The sequence below is a fragment of the Homo sapiens genome, chromosome 1 (assembly GCF_000001405.40).
Source record: "Homo sapiens chromosome 1, GRCh38.p14 Primary Assembly".
NCBI lineage: Eukaryota > Metazoa > Chordata > Mammalia > Primates > Hominidae > Homo > Homo sapiens.
In genome coordinates this window covers 117535076-117551030 of record NC_000001.11, presented here as the reverse complement: position 1 = coordinate 117551030, position 15955 = coordinate 117535076, and the positions used below count along the sequence as shown (strand labels likewise).

The 15955-nt window shown below is 43.8% G+C and overlaps 1 pseudogene, besides 2 other annotated features; it reads right to left on the bottom strand.

The window, feature by feature from the left end:
- Positions 1 to 917: 917 nt before the first annotated feature.
- Positions 918 to 1636, bottom strand: VPS25P1 (VPS25 pseudogene 1; annotated as a pseudogene).
- Positions 15626 to 15865: a silencer, noted in NCBI's record as "silent region_1241". NCBI's record gives its function as "represses an Ori minimal core promoter by ATAC-STARR-seq in GM12878 lymphoblastoid cells {active_cell/tissue: GM12878}" and the evidence as "EXISTENCE:reporter gene assay evidence [ECO:0000049][PMID:35858748]".
- Positions 15886 to 15955: a silencer, noted in NCBI's record as "silent region_1240". NCBI's record gives its function as "represses an Ori minimal core promoter by ATAC-STARR-seq in GM12878 lymphoblastoid cells {active_cell/tissue: GM12878}" and the evidence as "EXISTENCE:reporter gene assay evidence [ECO:0000049][PMID:35858748]".

The following is a 15955-nucleotide window of genomic DNA, read 5'->3' as shown; positions in this document are numbered from 1 at the left end:
ATGCCTGTAATCCCAGCACTTTGGGAGGCCGAGGAGGGTGGATCACCTGAGTTCAGGGGTTCAAGATCAGCCTGACCAATATGGTGAAACCCTGTCTCTAATAAAAAATACAAAAATTAGCCGGGCGTCATGGCGGGTGCCTGTAATCCCAGCTACTCAGGAGGCGGAGGCAGGAGGATTGCTTGCACCCAGGAGATGGGGGTTGCAGTGAGCTGAGATCGTGCCACTGCACTCCAGCATGGGCGACAGAGTGAGACTGTCTCAAAAAAAAAAAAAAAAAAAAGATGATGGATTTTTGAGATTTGTTCAAGCTATGAATTCCAGATTAAATTAAATAAAAAGATATTTAAAAACACTCCTGATTATATTCTTTTATGCAATGGAGATATGATTTGTCATGCTTTGGATGTTAATATAGTTATATCTGCTTTCTTTTGATTAGTATTTCCATGGCGTACCTTATTCCTTCTTACTACTTTTTACATTTCTAATCATTATATTTCAACTGAATTTATTGTGAGCAGCATATAGCTCAGTTTTTATTGTCTGAAGTGGGGGCAGTTGAGATTTTAATAACATAAATCAATGTTGGGCCCTGCCTGTCAGTGCCAGGCCCATGGGCCTCCTATCTTTCTATTGCTTGGATGGCTGCCTGCAGCCAGGCTTCCCACATTCCCTAGGAAAGATCCAGCAGCAGCCTGAGAAGGGAGGCAACAGCAGCTAAGGGGATAGAAGATGGAGGAGACAGAAGCATGTGCAGGTGCATGTGTGTATGAACTTACATATGTGAACACACATAAAGTGTTAGGTTTACAGACCCTGGCTCAGAAGCAGTCTAGGATAGGAAAGGAAGTAGGCAAGCTTTGAAGAAGCATTTTTCTCTGGAGTGCCTCAGCCTCACCCTGTCCCAGGGACAGACATGTTGTGTATGAGAAACCCACCCCTGGGTCCCAGGCTTCAGGACTGGAGCCCTTTTGAGTCTGGTGGATTCACAGGTTCAATGTGTGGGTCCACCGAGTCTGTCTCCTCCTGAAAGCCCTGGAAAGGTGGGAGATAGAAAGTAAAAGGAAGCAGGTCTCTGACAGATGGACCTGACACCTCAGCCATCACTGGTCTCCGAGTGAGATGGTGATGATCTCAGCCTTATGTTCCTACTGAAGGGCCTGCAGAGCCCACAGAAGGCCTCCTTTAGTCCGTGGAACACCTCATTCTCTATGTCTTCCCCATTGGTCAGCTCATACAGGCTAAGTACGGAGTTGTTCTGGCCACTCCTGGAGACCCACTGATAGATGAGTTTTCCCCATTCTTCTGGCCTCCGCCACATGATTAGGAAACTAGACTTGCTCTTATCCAGCCACTGTAAGTTCCCATTCTTCCTCAGTTCCTCTAATACAACCTGGATTGATCCCACAGGAAGCTTCCACAGCTTGATGTTGCTGAAGAGCAGGATCTCCTGAGCATCCATAACCATCATGCTTGACTGTCTGTGCAGGCAGCAGATGGACAGAACCAACAAACACCAGGTGGCCAGCTGCTTCTGCCAAGTGGCCACGTTCAGCTGTAATGTAAAGGGCGGGAAAGCGATACTGCCACAACCACTTGAAATTCGTCACCATCATAATAGCCCAGGAAATCCCACTTTTTTTTCCTTTAATTTTTAATTTATGTTTATTTATTTTTTTGAGACAGAGTCTGGCTCTGTCACCAGGCTGGAGTGCAGTGCCGTGATTTCAGCTCACTGCAACCTCTGCCTCCTGGGTTCAAGCGATTCTCCTGCCTCAGCCTCCCAAGTAGCTGGGGCTACAGCCATATGCCACCATGTCCAGCTAATTTTTGTATTTTTTAGTAGAGACAGGGTTTCATCATGTTGGCCAGGCTGGTCTTGAACTCCTGACCTCAAGTGATTCACCTGACTTGGTCTCCCAAAGTGCTGGGATTACAGGCATGAGCCACCACGCCCAGCCTCACAGAACTTTTGAATCTGTTAACTGAATTTTTTTTTCACAGTTTTAGAAAATTCTTGGTTAGTAGCTCTTAAAATATTGCTTCTGCCCCATTCTCTTTTTGTTTTTCTGAGACTATTACATATTGTTATATATTAGACCTCATCACTGTATCACATATGTCTCATGGTCTTTTCTGTACTTTCCATCTCTTTTTTTCCCTTCTCCCTGAACTTTAGGATGGATATTTTCAGTTAGTCTGTCTTCCTGGTGATGAATTCTCTCTTCTGCTGTATAACTCTCTGGTAGGGAGGTAGAGACGGAGCAGATCATATTAACCCCTATTAATCACATTGGGATTACACTGGTTCAGGACTAGGTTTTAGTCTTTTGTGAACACCTTTTATTTCTGGTTTACCTTACCTCTTAGAGTATAGCTTCTGGGTGTCTTTTTTTTTTTTTTTTTTTGAGACGGAGTCTCGCTCTGTCGCCCAGGCTGGAGTGCAGTGGCGGGATCTCGGCTCACTGCAAGCTCCGCCTCCCGGGTTCACGCCATTCTCCTGCCTCAGCCTCCCAAGTAGCTGGGACTACAGGCGCCCGCCACTACGCCCGGCTAATTTTTTGTATTTTTAGTAGAGACGGGGTTTCACCGTTTTAGGCTTCTGGGTGTCTTAATGGGAGGTCTAGATTGTTTACTGGGGCCTTTTCTTGGTGAACCCTGAACTCTAATTTTTGTTTCCTTAGGCTTGTTAGACTGCTGAAAGCTCTGCTCAGCTTTCTAGCCTTATTTAAGTGTCTGCTGCTGCCCAGCTTCCTAGCTTCTCAGCCCTGTGCTGCTTTTAAATTGCCAAATGCCTCAAGGAAAAAGCCCTGCAGAATTCTGGGTTTATCTCAAAATGTATTTATTTGCTCTGATATTCTCGCCACTCAAGTCTGGCCACCTAACTCTAACTGACTCTGTATCTATTAATAGCTATGTAATGTCTTCAAAGAGATTTATTTTTGTCTTTTGTCTTGCTCTTATAACTTTTTTTTTTTTTTGGTGCAGGGGTTGGTCTGCAAAAAGCATTCCCAGAAGTATAAACTTTAATAATGTTATTTAATGTGCTACTTCTGTATCCTGAACATTAGTCATTTGGATGTGCAGAAAGAGACTTTGTTCTTAAAGATTGTCACTCCCGAGAGAGGTGGCTCAGGCCTGTCATCCCAGCACTTTGGGAGGCCAAGGAGGGTGGATCCCTTGAGGTCAGGAGTTTGAGACCAGCCTGGTCAACATGGTGAAACCTTGTCTCTACTAAAAATACAAAAATTTGCTGGGTGTGATGGCATGTGCCTGTAGTCCCAGCTACAGGCTACTCGGGAGGCTGAGGCAGGAGAATCGTTTGAACATGGGGGGCAGGGGTTGCAGTGAGTTGAGATTGTGTCATTGCACTCCAGCCTGGGTGACAAAGCGAGAATACAATGGATTAATGATGAATGCTTGCAAAGAAATGAGGTGGGAGATCAGGGTAAGGCAGTTTGACCAAGAGAATGGTGAAACTGATAGACATACTCATAAAGTAGAAAACAGATCTATAGACTGACCATGGGAAAAACGTGGTGAAGGTAACGAGTGATTTAGGAATCACAAGCAAAACATTCTGTACACATCCTTAAGTTGCATATTTAAAATATAATTATAACAGTATATTTTAACTGAATTACAGGCCAAAGCATGAAGATAGTGAGCCATTCTCATCATTCTGCTTTAAAGAGAAACTGCATGGCTTTGAAATTGTTTTGTTATTTACTTACATGAGATGTGAAAACAAGATGGAACAGCAGCCGTCACATATTAAAAAACAGCTTGATTTTTAAAAATACCTTAATATTGTATGCTTCAGGTAATAATAATGATAACTTGTTAGCAAGATTTGCTAATGCCCAAAGGTTGACTGGAGAGAAATCAATTCATATGCTGGACTCTGCTGGAGAAGTAATCAAAATCATGGATCTTGAGAGGATAACTTTTTCTTGAATTATCCTTATTGAAAGACCCACCTTTCATTCTACTTAAGAAAAGATGCTGACACTGATATGCATGCAATGAAATCTTGAATACAGATGGAAATTTATAGATTTTGCTATTCTGAAATCTAGTTACATTACTTTATTTACATCCTTGTTTATCCAAGGATTAAAGAAATACACAATCTATGTGAGGGCAAAAATCGGAAATTTCCTTCTGAAACATTCAGATAGCACAAAACTTCAATATGCTTCAAACAGCATCTTTACCAGCAATCAAATCTGCAAGTAGGAGTTGAAAGGGAAATAAACATTACCTTAGTTACTGCGGAGAAAAGAAAAGATTAATTATTTGGGAGCAACATCACCACTAGTGTGCCTTGTACTGGCAAGAAGATACTAAAAAACAGCTTGTGTCCTCACCAACCTCAGTCCAAAGTTTCTATTTATACGACAAATGTAATGACACAGGAGTAATCCAGCAGATTGAAGTGATGACAAATTATTATTAGTGACTTCTAATGACAAATTTTAAAAACTGACCTCTTTTAATAATAAAATTATATTAATAAGTAAGCCTTAAAAATAAATTTTCTAGTTTACTCATGTGTCTTGGGGTTTCATTCCATTTCATTCATTCATTCAATGGTGACTCATTGCTTCAGCTAAATACTGATCTTAGTGTAGCCATCTCTCATTAGGTGGTAAATTTTTTAAGACCTTGCTTGTCTGAAAATGTCATTTATTTATTTATTTATTTATTGATAGATAGGATCTTGCTCTGGCTCCCAGGCTGAAGTACGGTGGCCTGATCACAGCTCACTGCAGCCACGACCTCCCCAGCTCAGGTGATCCTCTCGCCTCAGCCTCTCGAGTTGCTGGGACTACAGGCGTGCACCACCACTCCCGTCTAATTTTTGTATTGTTAGTAGAGAGGGGGTTTCACCATATTGGTCAGGCTGGTCTCGAATTCCTGACCTCAGGGGATCCACCCTCCTCGGCCTCCCAAAGTACTAGGATTACAGGCGTGAGCCACCGTGCTGGCCTTGAAAATGTCTTTATGCTCCTTACACGCTTGATAATTTGGCTGAATACAAATTCTAGGTTGAATATCATTTTCCCATGGAATATTGAAAGCAATGGTCCACATGTTCTTGCTTCCAGGGTTACTTTTGAGAAATCCAAATCCATTCGATTCCTGATCATTTTTATATGACCTTTTTATCCCCCTACTCTCTCTAGAAGCATTCCAAATTTCTTTGTTCATAGTGTTCAGAAATGCCACAGTTTCAGATATGTAGTCTATTTTTTTTTTCTGTGATAGCTACTGGAGAGTCCTTTCAATTTGTAAAATCATGTTTTTCTTAGTTCTGGGAATTTTTTTTAAATTTATTTTCTGCCTCTATTTTCTCTTTTAGCAACTACGATTATTTGGATATTGTTCATTTTCTCAGGAACTGCCTCCTCCAGCTTAAACTTGAGAAACCTACTGTTAAAATCTAAATGCAGGGTTTTATATTTATCCCAAAATTTTCTTATTTGTTGGGGGAAAAAACACTCTTTACATAAAGAAGGAGGAAGACTAGTGGGTGGCAGAGGATGAAAATATAGGCTGGAGTTGGCCAGTTTCTATTCTCCTGACTCCCTCCTATTACCAAAACGAGTTCAAACCTGACAGCACAGAGAGCCTGAGCCCACACCAGACAACCTGGTTTGCACTCTCAGCTCTGCCACTGACACTGGGTGAGCTTGGGCAAACCATATCAACTCTCTGGATCTCTGTCTCCTCTCAGTAAAAAGAAATGTGAAAAATAATATCCGCACAGCCTAATAAAATAATAGCATCTCCTCACATGGCAAGTTGTGAAGAACTTGTGAGAGCAAACATCTGAACCAAGCAAGCTTTATTTAAGTGGAAGAGATTATTTTTATTGGAATAACATGAGGGTTGGTAGTTTTCAGATACCGTGTGAGTTTCTCTCTACTTTCTGAAGGAGCAGAGCCCCAAACAACAACTCCAGAAGCAGGTTTTCAACATGACAGCTTGACAGCCACCTGCCTCAACGGCAGGATTAGGAGGCTCAGAGGCCCCGTGAACTGATGACATCACTTGGAAGTGAACAAAGGTCAGACTTACACAATTCCCAAACCCTTGATGTTGGGTTCACAATGCAGGCCAGGTTTTGATTTCCCTGTTTGAGACCAGAGGCCAGTGGCTGTCATTTTAACTTTATCTCAGCATAACTGAAACGGCCTTTTCATCTCCGCAGCCCACCCAGCCTATCCCCACTGCCACTGCCACAGCCTTAGAGCAGGCCCAAGCTAGCTCAAAGCTCCCAAGCCCAGGCCTCCATCTTGTCCTCCTACAGTGCACATCCCATGTTACAGGTGGTTGCAGTCAGTATCACCTTCCTACAGCACAAGTCTGATCATGTCTCTTTTATGTTGAACCCCTCAATTTGTGTGGGATGGGACACTTAACTTTTCCATATTCTTATCACTTAGTTATGCCTCACATAAACAGCACATCACTGTTTCACCTTAGCCTGATCATTCCTGTCTTTCCTCATTCTTGCCTTTTATAAAAATTACCAAGCTATTTCTTTCACTTCATTGTGTTCTCTCTCTACAGATTGGGAATGTTTACATGCTGTTTTTATTCTTTTAGTGGTTACTGCAAAGTTGACTGTACGTGTTTATCATAAAGTCTTGCAGTCAATCCATATCTTCATTCCTCTCCTAAGATTTAGCTCCAGTGCTCCTGCCCTGAACTCAGAGTATTGTTTAGAATAATTTAATTCTGACTTTTTAACATCTTTGCTCTTAACTTCTCCTTCATTTTTCTTTATTCTTATATTTATTTCCTGCACTCTGGAAACATTCTCTTTCAATGTGTCTAATCTTTTGTTTAATCTATTGACTGTGTTTTTCATTTTGGTGGTTATATTTTTCATTCCTAGAATTTCCATTTGTTTGTTATTCAAATCTGTCATTTTTGTTGGTTTTCTGCAGTAAACTCATCTTTGCAATTGCATCCTTTTTGAAATAAAGACAGGAGGCAGGGTCAAAGATGAATTCATCACGAAAATTTAAAAATACTTAGAAGTAAGTGATAGTGAAATCACTACATATCAAAGCTTATTGAAAGCAGCATATGTAATATTTGACCTTTTTTCCAAATATTTGAAACAAATTCAACATTAGAAGCAAATACTTGAAAGAAACCTTTCAAACAAATTTGTACAAGCCTTAAATACTTGTATTAGGAAAGAAGAAATTAATCAGGTAAGTCTCCACCTTAAGAAAATGAACAGAAACCTTAAAGACAATAGAAGGAGGTAAATAATAAACAGTAGAAATTAATGAAGTAGAAAGCAAAGAAAAATAGAATTAACAAAGCTGAAATCTGATTCTTTTGAAAGAATAATCTATACTCATTATCTTCACCTCGACAATTTGGCTTTTACCTCTCTGTCATTCTATGAATGTTACTATGGCAAAAAAAAAAAGGTTCTAATAACTTCCTGGGTATTGAATATTAAAGAACTATTGTTAGTCCTTATCTAATTTGCCTTCTGGGTGGAATGGGTATTCTTGACTACTTCCTGAACTTCAGACTCAAATATCCTACTGCCTGTTCAAAATCCCCACTCAGATAGCTAGTGAGCATTTTACACTTATGACCAACATTGAGTCCATGAAGTCCTCCTTCCCCAAATTTACTCCTCTATTTTCCCTATATCAGAAATGTCAACTGTGTTTTTCATTTCTCAAATGGGAAATATTTCTCAAGTTCTCTTTGTTTCCCTTCTTGATCTCTTAAAGTTTATTCTAAACCCCAAAGCCATAATAATCTTCAAAAATACAAATTAGATCATATGACTCCCTTCAAAGCTTCTAGTAGCTTCCTACCACCCTTAGAAAAAAAAAAATCCATACTCCTTACCTTGGCCTTCATGATCTGGCCCCTGCTTGTCTTTCCAGCCTAGCTCTCCCCATCCTTCTGCTCATCGTGGTCCTCCTGCCATCCTGGGCCATCACATGTGTTTTTGCCTCAGGGTCTTTGTGCTTGCCACTCCTTCCCTCTGCCAAGAATACTGTCAGCCCAGAACTCCCATGGCTCCCTCTGTCCCTCCATTCAGGTGTCTGCACAAGTATCTCCATTTTAGACAGCCTTCCTTAACACTATGTTTAATACAGGATACACATGCCTTCCCCATCCACACTCACTGTTTGCACCCCTCACACTATTTTACTTTTATTTGCAATACCCATTACAATTGACATTCTATTTGTTTATTCATTTGTAGGTTATCGTCATCCATCCCTGCCCTACTAAAAGTACACAAATTGTCTTACCAGTGTGTCTCCCATGTCTAGAACTGTGCCTGGGACATCATGGGCTTAATGACTATTTGGCAAATGTGTGAATTACATGATTACATGAATTAATAAACAGGCTAGATTTGGAAGAGAAAAAGAAAGATAGGACCCATAGATAGAAGGGGTTGCAGGCAGTGTTTTAACTCTCTGATGCCACCTTCTTCATGAAGCTTTCCTAATTTCCAACTCTCTCTGCCCACAGCACATTAGGCCTGTTCTATAGCACAGAGTCCACCTTCCAGCTTGGGTACGTTTAGACTGCTGTGATATTCTTGAGAACAGGTGCCATCTTTCAGTCACCTCTGCACCTCTGGTGCCTATCCTCGTCCTTGCCATAGAACAGATGCTCAATCAATGCTTGTCAAATTGAATTAAACCCATAATGGCTACACTCACTCCAGCCAAAAATGTCTTTAGCTTAACTGTTAAATGAGTCACTTTCACCAACAAAAACCAGATTTTAAAATTATTGACAAAAAGACTAAATGGAATGAAGCTCTTTCTAGATAATTTTCCTGCTTCAAAGCAGCCTGAGAGCAAAGTAGAAATGACAATATATTGATAGCTTCTGGATGGTAGGGACTAAATACAATGAATCATTGTAAATCCTACAGTAACTCAGCACTAATGATTACCAATGTGATTTGTAAACAAACAAATGTTGCATGACTTTTTTAAAAGCCCCTCCCCCCTTTGCAGTTTTTGAATTTGCAAAGTACCCCCAGAAACGATCTCTAGGTCCCCCTCAAGCTAGATGATTAAAAATGTCTAGTTTCATTTAGGAGGAGTTTTGTAGTTCTTAAGTCCAAGAAAGTGAAAGCTCTGGGAAGCATCACTGTGTGGCTAAGGTGTGCTGAGTGGCTGTGGCTGTGCTTTCTGCAGCCTTTGCTCTTCCAGTGTTGCTGGGAGATCAGGAACCGTATCAACCAAGGTCTCTTCCGGCATCCACTGGCTCCTGGAGAGGCCAAGGAGTATTCTGCTCCCTGCTGTCACTTTTCAAGATACTTTGCTGGCCCGTGAACAATAAGCCATGGGCTCTGGGTGAATGAGGCTGCTGCACCTCTTCAGGCCGTCTCCCTTGGGCCTCCCCACAACACCAGAAATGCACTTTGAGCTGCATATGCACAGGTGATCTTCAATACCCTCTTCCTGAGCTAGGCTGACAGTGAATGTGGGTGAAGAAAGAAGGAAAGGAATAAAGTATGTGAGAAGCACCATGTGCCTTTGAAATCACAGATGTTTGTCAAGTGGAAAAATACCAAACCCTCAGCATGTTTCACTTTGTGTTTCTTGGAAACATTTCATCAAAGGGGCAAAATAAAATGTGCCATCTCTACTGGAGCCAGGTGAGAGCTGCTTCCTTCTTTTCTCCACAAACAGAGTTGCCATTTCCCAGTATTGGTCTGAAGAGTGCTGAGGCCCTGAATGCCCAGAGGGAACTGCGGATTGCGTCACACGGGTGCCCTTTCAGGAGAACATCCCTGCCTGACATGTCTTTGGGAGGCTTCCAGCAGTCTCCAGTTTTCTTCTCAGTCCTGACGTCTTCAGGGACTGTGCTGTGGACAGTGCCGAAAAAAGCTGGTCCTGCACAGCTCCTGGAAGCTGCAGCCCACCCTTGCCCCTACCCCAGGCAGAGGGTAACCTCAAGGCCATGACTTCCTCCTCCTCTGGTGCTGCTTACTGTGAGCCAGGAGGGTGGCCTGGCCAGGCTTCTGAGGTCCCAGTCAGCTGCAGACCCTTGTGGGGCAGCCCAGAGCTCCAGCGAAACTCACCCAGCCTGGGCAACAACCTTATACCAAGCTGTGGAAGAAGAGGCCCCCCAAGCTCTGCAGGGGAGTGAAGGATCCCTGTAACATTTCCAGTGGGCACTGGCTCTCAGGAATGGTTGGCTTCGTATTCTAAGCTGAAGTGGTGAGGGCTGGGCCCACAGGCGGACTCAACCAGCCATTGTTAGAGGTGGTATCGCCTAGTGGTTAGGAGTGCAAGCTTTTGTTTCGAATAACCGTGGGGAAGCCCCTTAGCCTCTCTGAGGCTCAGTTTCCTCACCTGAAAATGCGAGTGATGCTACTACCTCCCTCAGTTTGTTATGAGAAATACATGAGATGATGTTTGCAGTGTGATTAGCAGAGTGCCTGGCATTTTAGAAGGGCTTGACCTATAAGGGTGTTATTGCTAAGCTGAATGAGAAGAGCCTGAGGTGTAGAGAGATATATAGTCTTCACAGGACATGCGGCAACTACCCTCCACTTACAAAAGTCGTGGTAGACTGGAAGGTGTTGAGTAAGGCTGGAGCCAAGTGGTGATTGTGAGTGAAGTCCTAGACTCCTCTGCCCCAGACTCCAGTCCAACAGGACAAACTGTTCCGGAAGGAAGGATGGTCTGAGCCTCAGCTGGTCGGGCCTAGTGATGCCATGTGGGACAACCTATTCAATCTTCATAACCACTCTGTAATAGGTGTATAATTATCCCATTTTTCAGATGAAAAAATTGAGGCTCAGAAAGAGATGTTATAGTTGTGGCCCAAGATCATACAGTGAATATGCAACAGACACTGTTCACCTAAACACAAACTTCAAAGCTTACATGAGGCTGTAAAGCAAGGGGACACTAAGAACAGGTCTGGGGTGGTCCAGCAATGGGGCTGTCTGGAAGTGGCCCCTGTCCAGGGGTTTCTGTGGCCTGGCCTCTAAAACCCCTGCTGTCTGCCTATTCTTCAAGCCTAGGCCTCTGACTTTCTGCAGACTATCTGAACCTCCATATATCCTTCCATAAACACCTTTTATGTAAGTAGCCAGAGTTGGTTTTTGCTCCTTGCCCTGAAGAACACTGACAGTCCAAAGCCTCAGCAGGCTGTCTCCTCAGTGATGCCGCCTGCCTTGACTGGGAATAGGAGGTGGGTGATGCTTTGGCCCTACAGGGCTCAGCTGGCTGCTCTTTCTCACCTGAAGTGCCTTTTGCTAAGCCCAGGAGTGCAGGGCTTTCTGCTGGTCTCCATTATGTTAGCTTGGCTGCATAGTCAAGTGGGGTGGGACTCCAGCAGAGAGGGCTAGGGGCCACCCAGACAGTAACCCCTATGATATATAACCCCTCTCACTGGTCACACAGTGACACATGTACCCATAGATCCTTGCACTCTTACAAACAATGCCAGCTTCACATCTTCCCCCTTCTCCATTTGCATGTACACCCCACATGTGTACATTCTTTGTCCCTCTGGCTCCCGTGGCCCAGTCTATTTCTCTTCCCCATCAGCCAATTGAGCCACCTACCCATTTTGGTGCTGGAACAGTGTGAGCTGGGAAGCAGGAAGTGGTGGGTGATGAGGCTAGAACAATGTGGAGGGGCTAAGCTGATACCTCCCTGTGAGGACAGGGGACCTCTGAAGTGCAGTATCGCATATACGATCTTGGGGTGCTAGGTGGGGACTGCTGCTCTCTGTAGCTCCCTGCTCCCAGAAGTTAGCAGAACTGTGCTGTGGTTGGAGTTCTGCATGAAGAATCCCTGAACGACCCTACTGCTGCTCCCATTCTGCGTCTATCTTCTTCATTTTTAGAGACAAGGTCTCAGTCTGTTGCCTAGGCTGGAGTGCAGAGGCATGATCATAGCTCACTGCAGCTGAAGTTATAGCTCAAGCAATTCTCCTGCCTCGGCCTTCGGAGTAGCTAGGACTATAGGTGTGAGCCACCACGCTTGGCTAATTTATTATTTTTTGTAGAATCAGGGTCTCACTATGCTGTCCAGGCTGGTCTCAAACTCCTGGCCTCAAGCAGTCCTCCCACCACAGCCTCCTGAAGTGCTGAGTTACAGGCGTGAGCTACCATACACAGCCTTCTTTTCCTTCCTCATCGGGGGTCCTCTCCTTTTACCATACTGCTTTCTGCTTCCTAAGGCGGATAAGATAAAACAAACAACCCAATCTCCAGGGACAACTGCCTGGCTTCTCCTTCCTCAAACCCAGCAGATTATAAGGCAGAGGCTCTGCCTTGTTCCTCTTCCTAGAGCATCCCATAGACATATGAATTGAAGGTGAGCCTAAAAGGACTGGGAGTGCAGGTGGGTGGCTGATTTCGATGCTCCCCTCCAGGCACAGTTGAGGAACTCAGTGTCCTGGATGTTTCTTCCTTATTAACAAACGCCTTCAGGTCAAGGTAGCCTGGAATGCTGGGCAGTTTACTTCTTTGGGTTCATTCCTCCTAGATTTTGGTCTGGTCATCCTTCACTAGGCTTTTGGTTCTTCAATGCTTTTAAAAGATTTTTCTTTTTAAGATTTTTTTTCTTTTTCTTTCTTTTTCTTTTTTTTTTTTCTTTTTGAGATACAGTTTTGCTCTTGTTGCCCAGGCTAGAGTGCAGTCGTGCAATCTTGGCTCACTGCAACCTCTGCCTCCTGGGTTCAAGCAATTCTCCTGCCTCAGCCTCCCAAATAGCTGGGATTACAGGCGCGTGCCACCATGCCGTGCTAATTTTGTATTTTTAGTAGAAATGGGGTTTTGTCATGTTGGTCAGGCTGGTCTTGAACTCCTGACCTCAGGTGATACGCTTGCCTCGGCCTCCCAAAGTGCTGGGATTACAGGTGTGAGCTACTGCACTAAGCCTCGTTTTAAGATTTATTTGGCTTTTCAAGTTGTCCTCAGTCGGGGGGGTTGGTAGAGAGTCCACAGGTAACATTATTAGTCCAGTTTGACAGAAAATAAAACAGGCAGTTTCCCTATCCTTCAGACTGCCACTTTCCTATAAAACTATTTCTTATCCTTTTTCTCAAGTTCTTTTGCCTTAAATGCCAACATCTTCTCCCCTATTCCCACTCTTAATAATCTTACTTCCTATTTCGTTGAGAAAATAGAAGCAATCAGAAGAGGACTCCCCTGTGCTGCTCCTCGTACTACCTGCTTCTCTTCCCGGTGCTCAGCTTCCCTCCGGTTACAATGAGGGAACTGTCCAAACACTCCGGCGAGGCCACGCCTACCGCCTACCTAAGGACATGGTTCCTGCAATTATCCTCTCTCCTGCAATACCAAACTTTTCCTCTCTGAGGGAGTATTCCCATCAGAAGAGAAACAGATTGTAATATTGCCCTCCAAAAGAAAATCTCTTCTTGATCCTCTATCTCTAATGCCTGGCTACCACCTGTTTTTATGCTCCTCATCGCAAGTGAAACTCCTATAAAGGGTTGTTTACACTCATTGTCTCTACCTCTTCTTCCATTTCCTCTTGAACTTCCTCTGAGCTGGCTTCTGCCCCCTTATTCTACAGAACAGTTTTTGTCAAGATCACCAATCATCACCATGTTGCCAAACCCAATCCAATTCTCAGGACTCATTTTACTTAATCCATCAGTGGCTCACTCCCTTCTCCTTGGTTTCTGGGGTTTCCCCCCGAGTCCCTTGGCTCTCTCTGGTCTTCTCTGCTCCCTTCTTATCCCACAGACCTCTAAACACTGGATGGCCTCAGGGCTCAGCCCTTGGGTGATTTCTTTTCTCAACCTCTAAGTGGCTTACCCTAAGGGATCTCAAGTCTACAGGCTATATATACCTTGACAAATGTCCAAATTTGTATCTCCAGCCCAGACCTCTCCTGAATTCCAGGTTCACATAGTTAACTACTTACTCTCAGTAAACAGGCAGATGTTTAATAAGAAATGAAAATTTAACATGTTCAAGAACAAATTCATCATTGCACCCCTCCTAGATCTTAATCTTCTCCATTCAAAAATGGTCACTGCATTCTTCCAATAGCTCAGATCAAACACACTGGAGTCAAACCTTTTCTTTTTCATGCCCATAATCAATTGCGTCAACTTTACCTTCAAAATATAGACCATAGTTGTTCTCCCTCATCACTGGTCTGAGTCACCAGCATTCCTCACCTGAATTATTTCAGTAGCCTCCAAACTGGTGTCCCTTCTCCCATCATGGCTCCCCTACCATCTGTTTTCCACACAGAAGCCAGAGTGACCCTTTGAAAACAGAGCAGATCATGTCACAACTGTGCTCAGTCTCCTGGGGCTTCTATTTTACTTGGTGTAAAAGTCAAAAATTTTTTTTTCTGAGACAGGGTCTCACTCTGTCGCCCAGGCTGGAGTGCAGTGGCACGATCAAGGCTCACTACAGCCTTGACCTCCCAGGCTTCTCCCACCTCAGCCTCCCCAGTAGCTGAGACTCCAGGTGTGCATTACACCTGGCTAATTTTTTTGTAGTTTTAGTAGTGACAGGGTTTTGTCGTGTTGCCCAGGCTGTTCTCGAACTGCTGGGCTCAAGTGATCCTCCCACTCAGCCTCCAAAGTGCTGGGATTACAGGCGTGAGCCACTGCGCCTGGCCAAAAGTCAAACTCTTGACAAGGGACTACACAGGGTCTTCCAAGATGGGACCCTGTTACTTTGCTGGTCTCCTCTTCTACCTTCCCCTAGCTCATTCTGCTCCAGCCTCTTGCTCTTCTTTGAATGGGTCGTGCATTGTGGTAACCCTTTGGCAGCCCTGCCCAGAAGGACTGGGTGCTGTAAACTGCAGTGCCCTCCTTGCCTTCGTGCGTCAATGACTCCTTTTCCTAGAATGTCTTTCCCTCATTTGTTGCAGCTAGACTCCTATCACAACCTACAAATTTCTCATTGCTCAAATTTCAAATGGGTAATTCCTCTCTGAAAGCTCAAGTTACAAATTTCTCACCACTCTCTCTTCATCACCACGTAGCTCTTCCCTACTTCAAAAGGTTCAATTCCAGCCCCCAAACCTCACCCTTAAATTAGGTAAACTCACTTCCCCTGTTCCCTGACTCATCTTCCTTCTACACTCTAGTGGCATTTGGTACACACCTTTACTAGCAAAACATAACCTTCGGCTTGCCCATCATCCTCTTCCGGCTTGGAGGCTCCAGAGGTTCGATGTCATGGTTGGCTCTGGATCTCCAGTGCCTCACACAGTTTTTGGTACATATATATTCAATAAATGTTTAAAGAAAAATAATTTCAAAAGGACTTAGGCAGAGTTATGTCCTAACAACTATGGACAACTACAATTTATGTCAGGAAATAAACTATTCCACAACACACCTATTGTTCTACATGAGCTAAAATTATTCATAGGGTTCAAATCGGAATTTTTCTAGGATTCTCTTCTGTCACGAGATTACATTTTTCATCTTCTAATAACTCTTAACTATTAGCTCAATGTCTTTAAAAGAAGGCAGTCACGTTTTAAAGGAAAGGGGAAAGTCTTTTTAGTCTTCTGTTTGTAGAACGTTTCATCACTGACTTGGTTCCAGTGGAGGCCCCAGCAGGCTGCTGGTATAGTAGGCTTGCCTGAACAACCAAGAACCTTGGCATCCTACCGTCAGTCAGAGGCAGGGTGTATTGACAAACTTAAGCAAGGTGTTTCACTGTATCTCCAGCCTCCCAGGCTTCAATCAGCTAACAATGGGAGGGAGGGAGAGGCGAGGGAGAGAGGGGAGAGCGGACAGGGGAGAGGGGAGACGGAGGAGAGGGAGGAGAGGGAGGAGAGGGAGGGGAGAAACATACTACTGCCCTCTAGTGGCAAAAATTTCTAGACTCTTACTGCTGAACTGCTTCAAAATGCTGAGCCCACACCAAATTCATTTTGAGTCATTCGAAGTTTTGATGAGTGATAAGTAT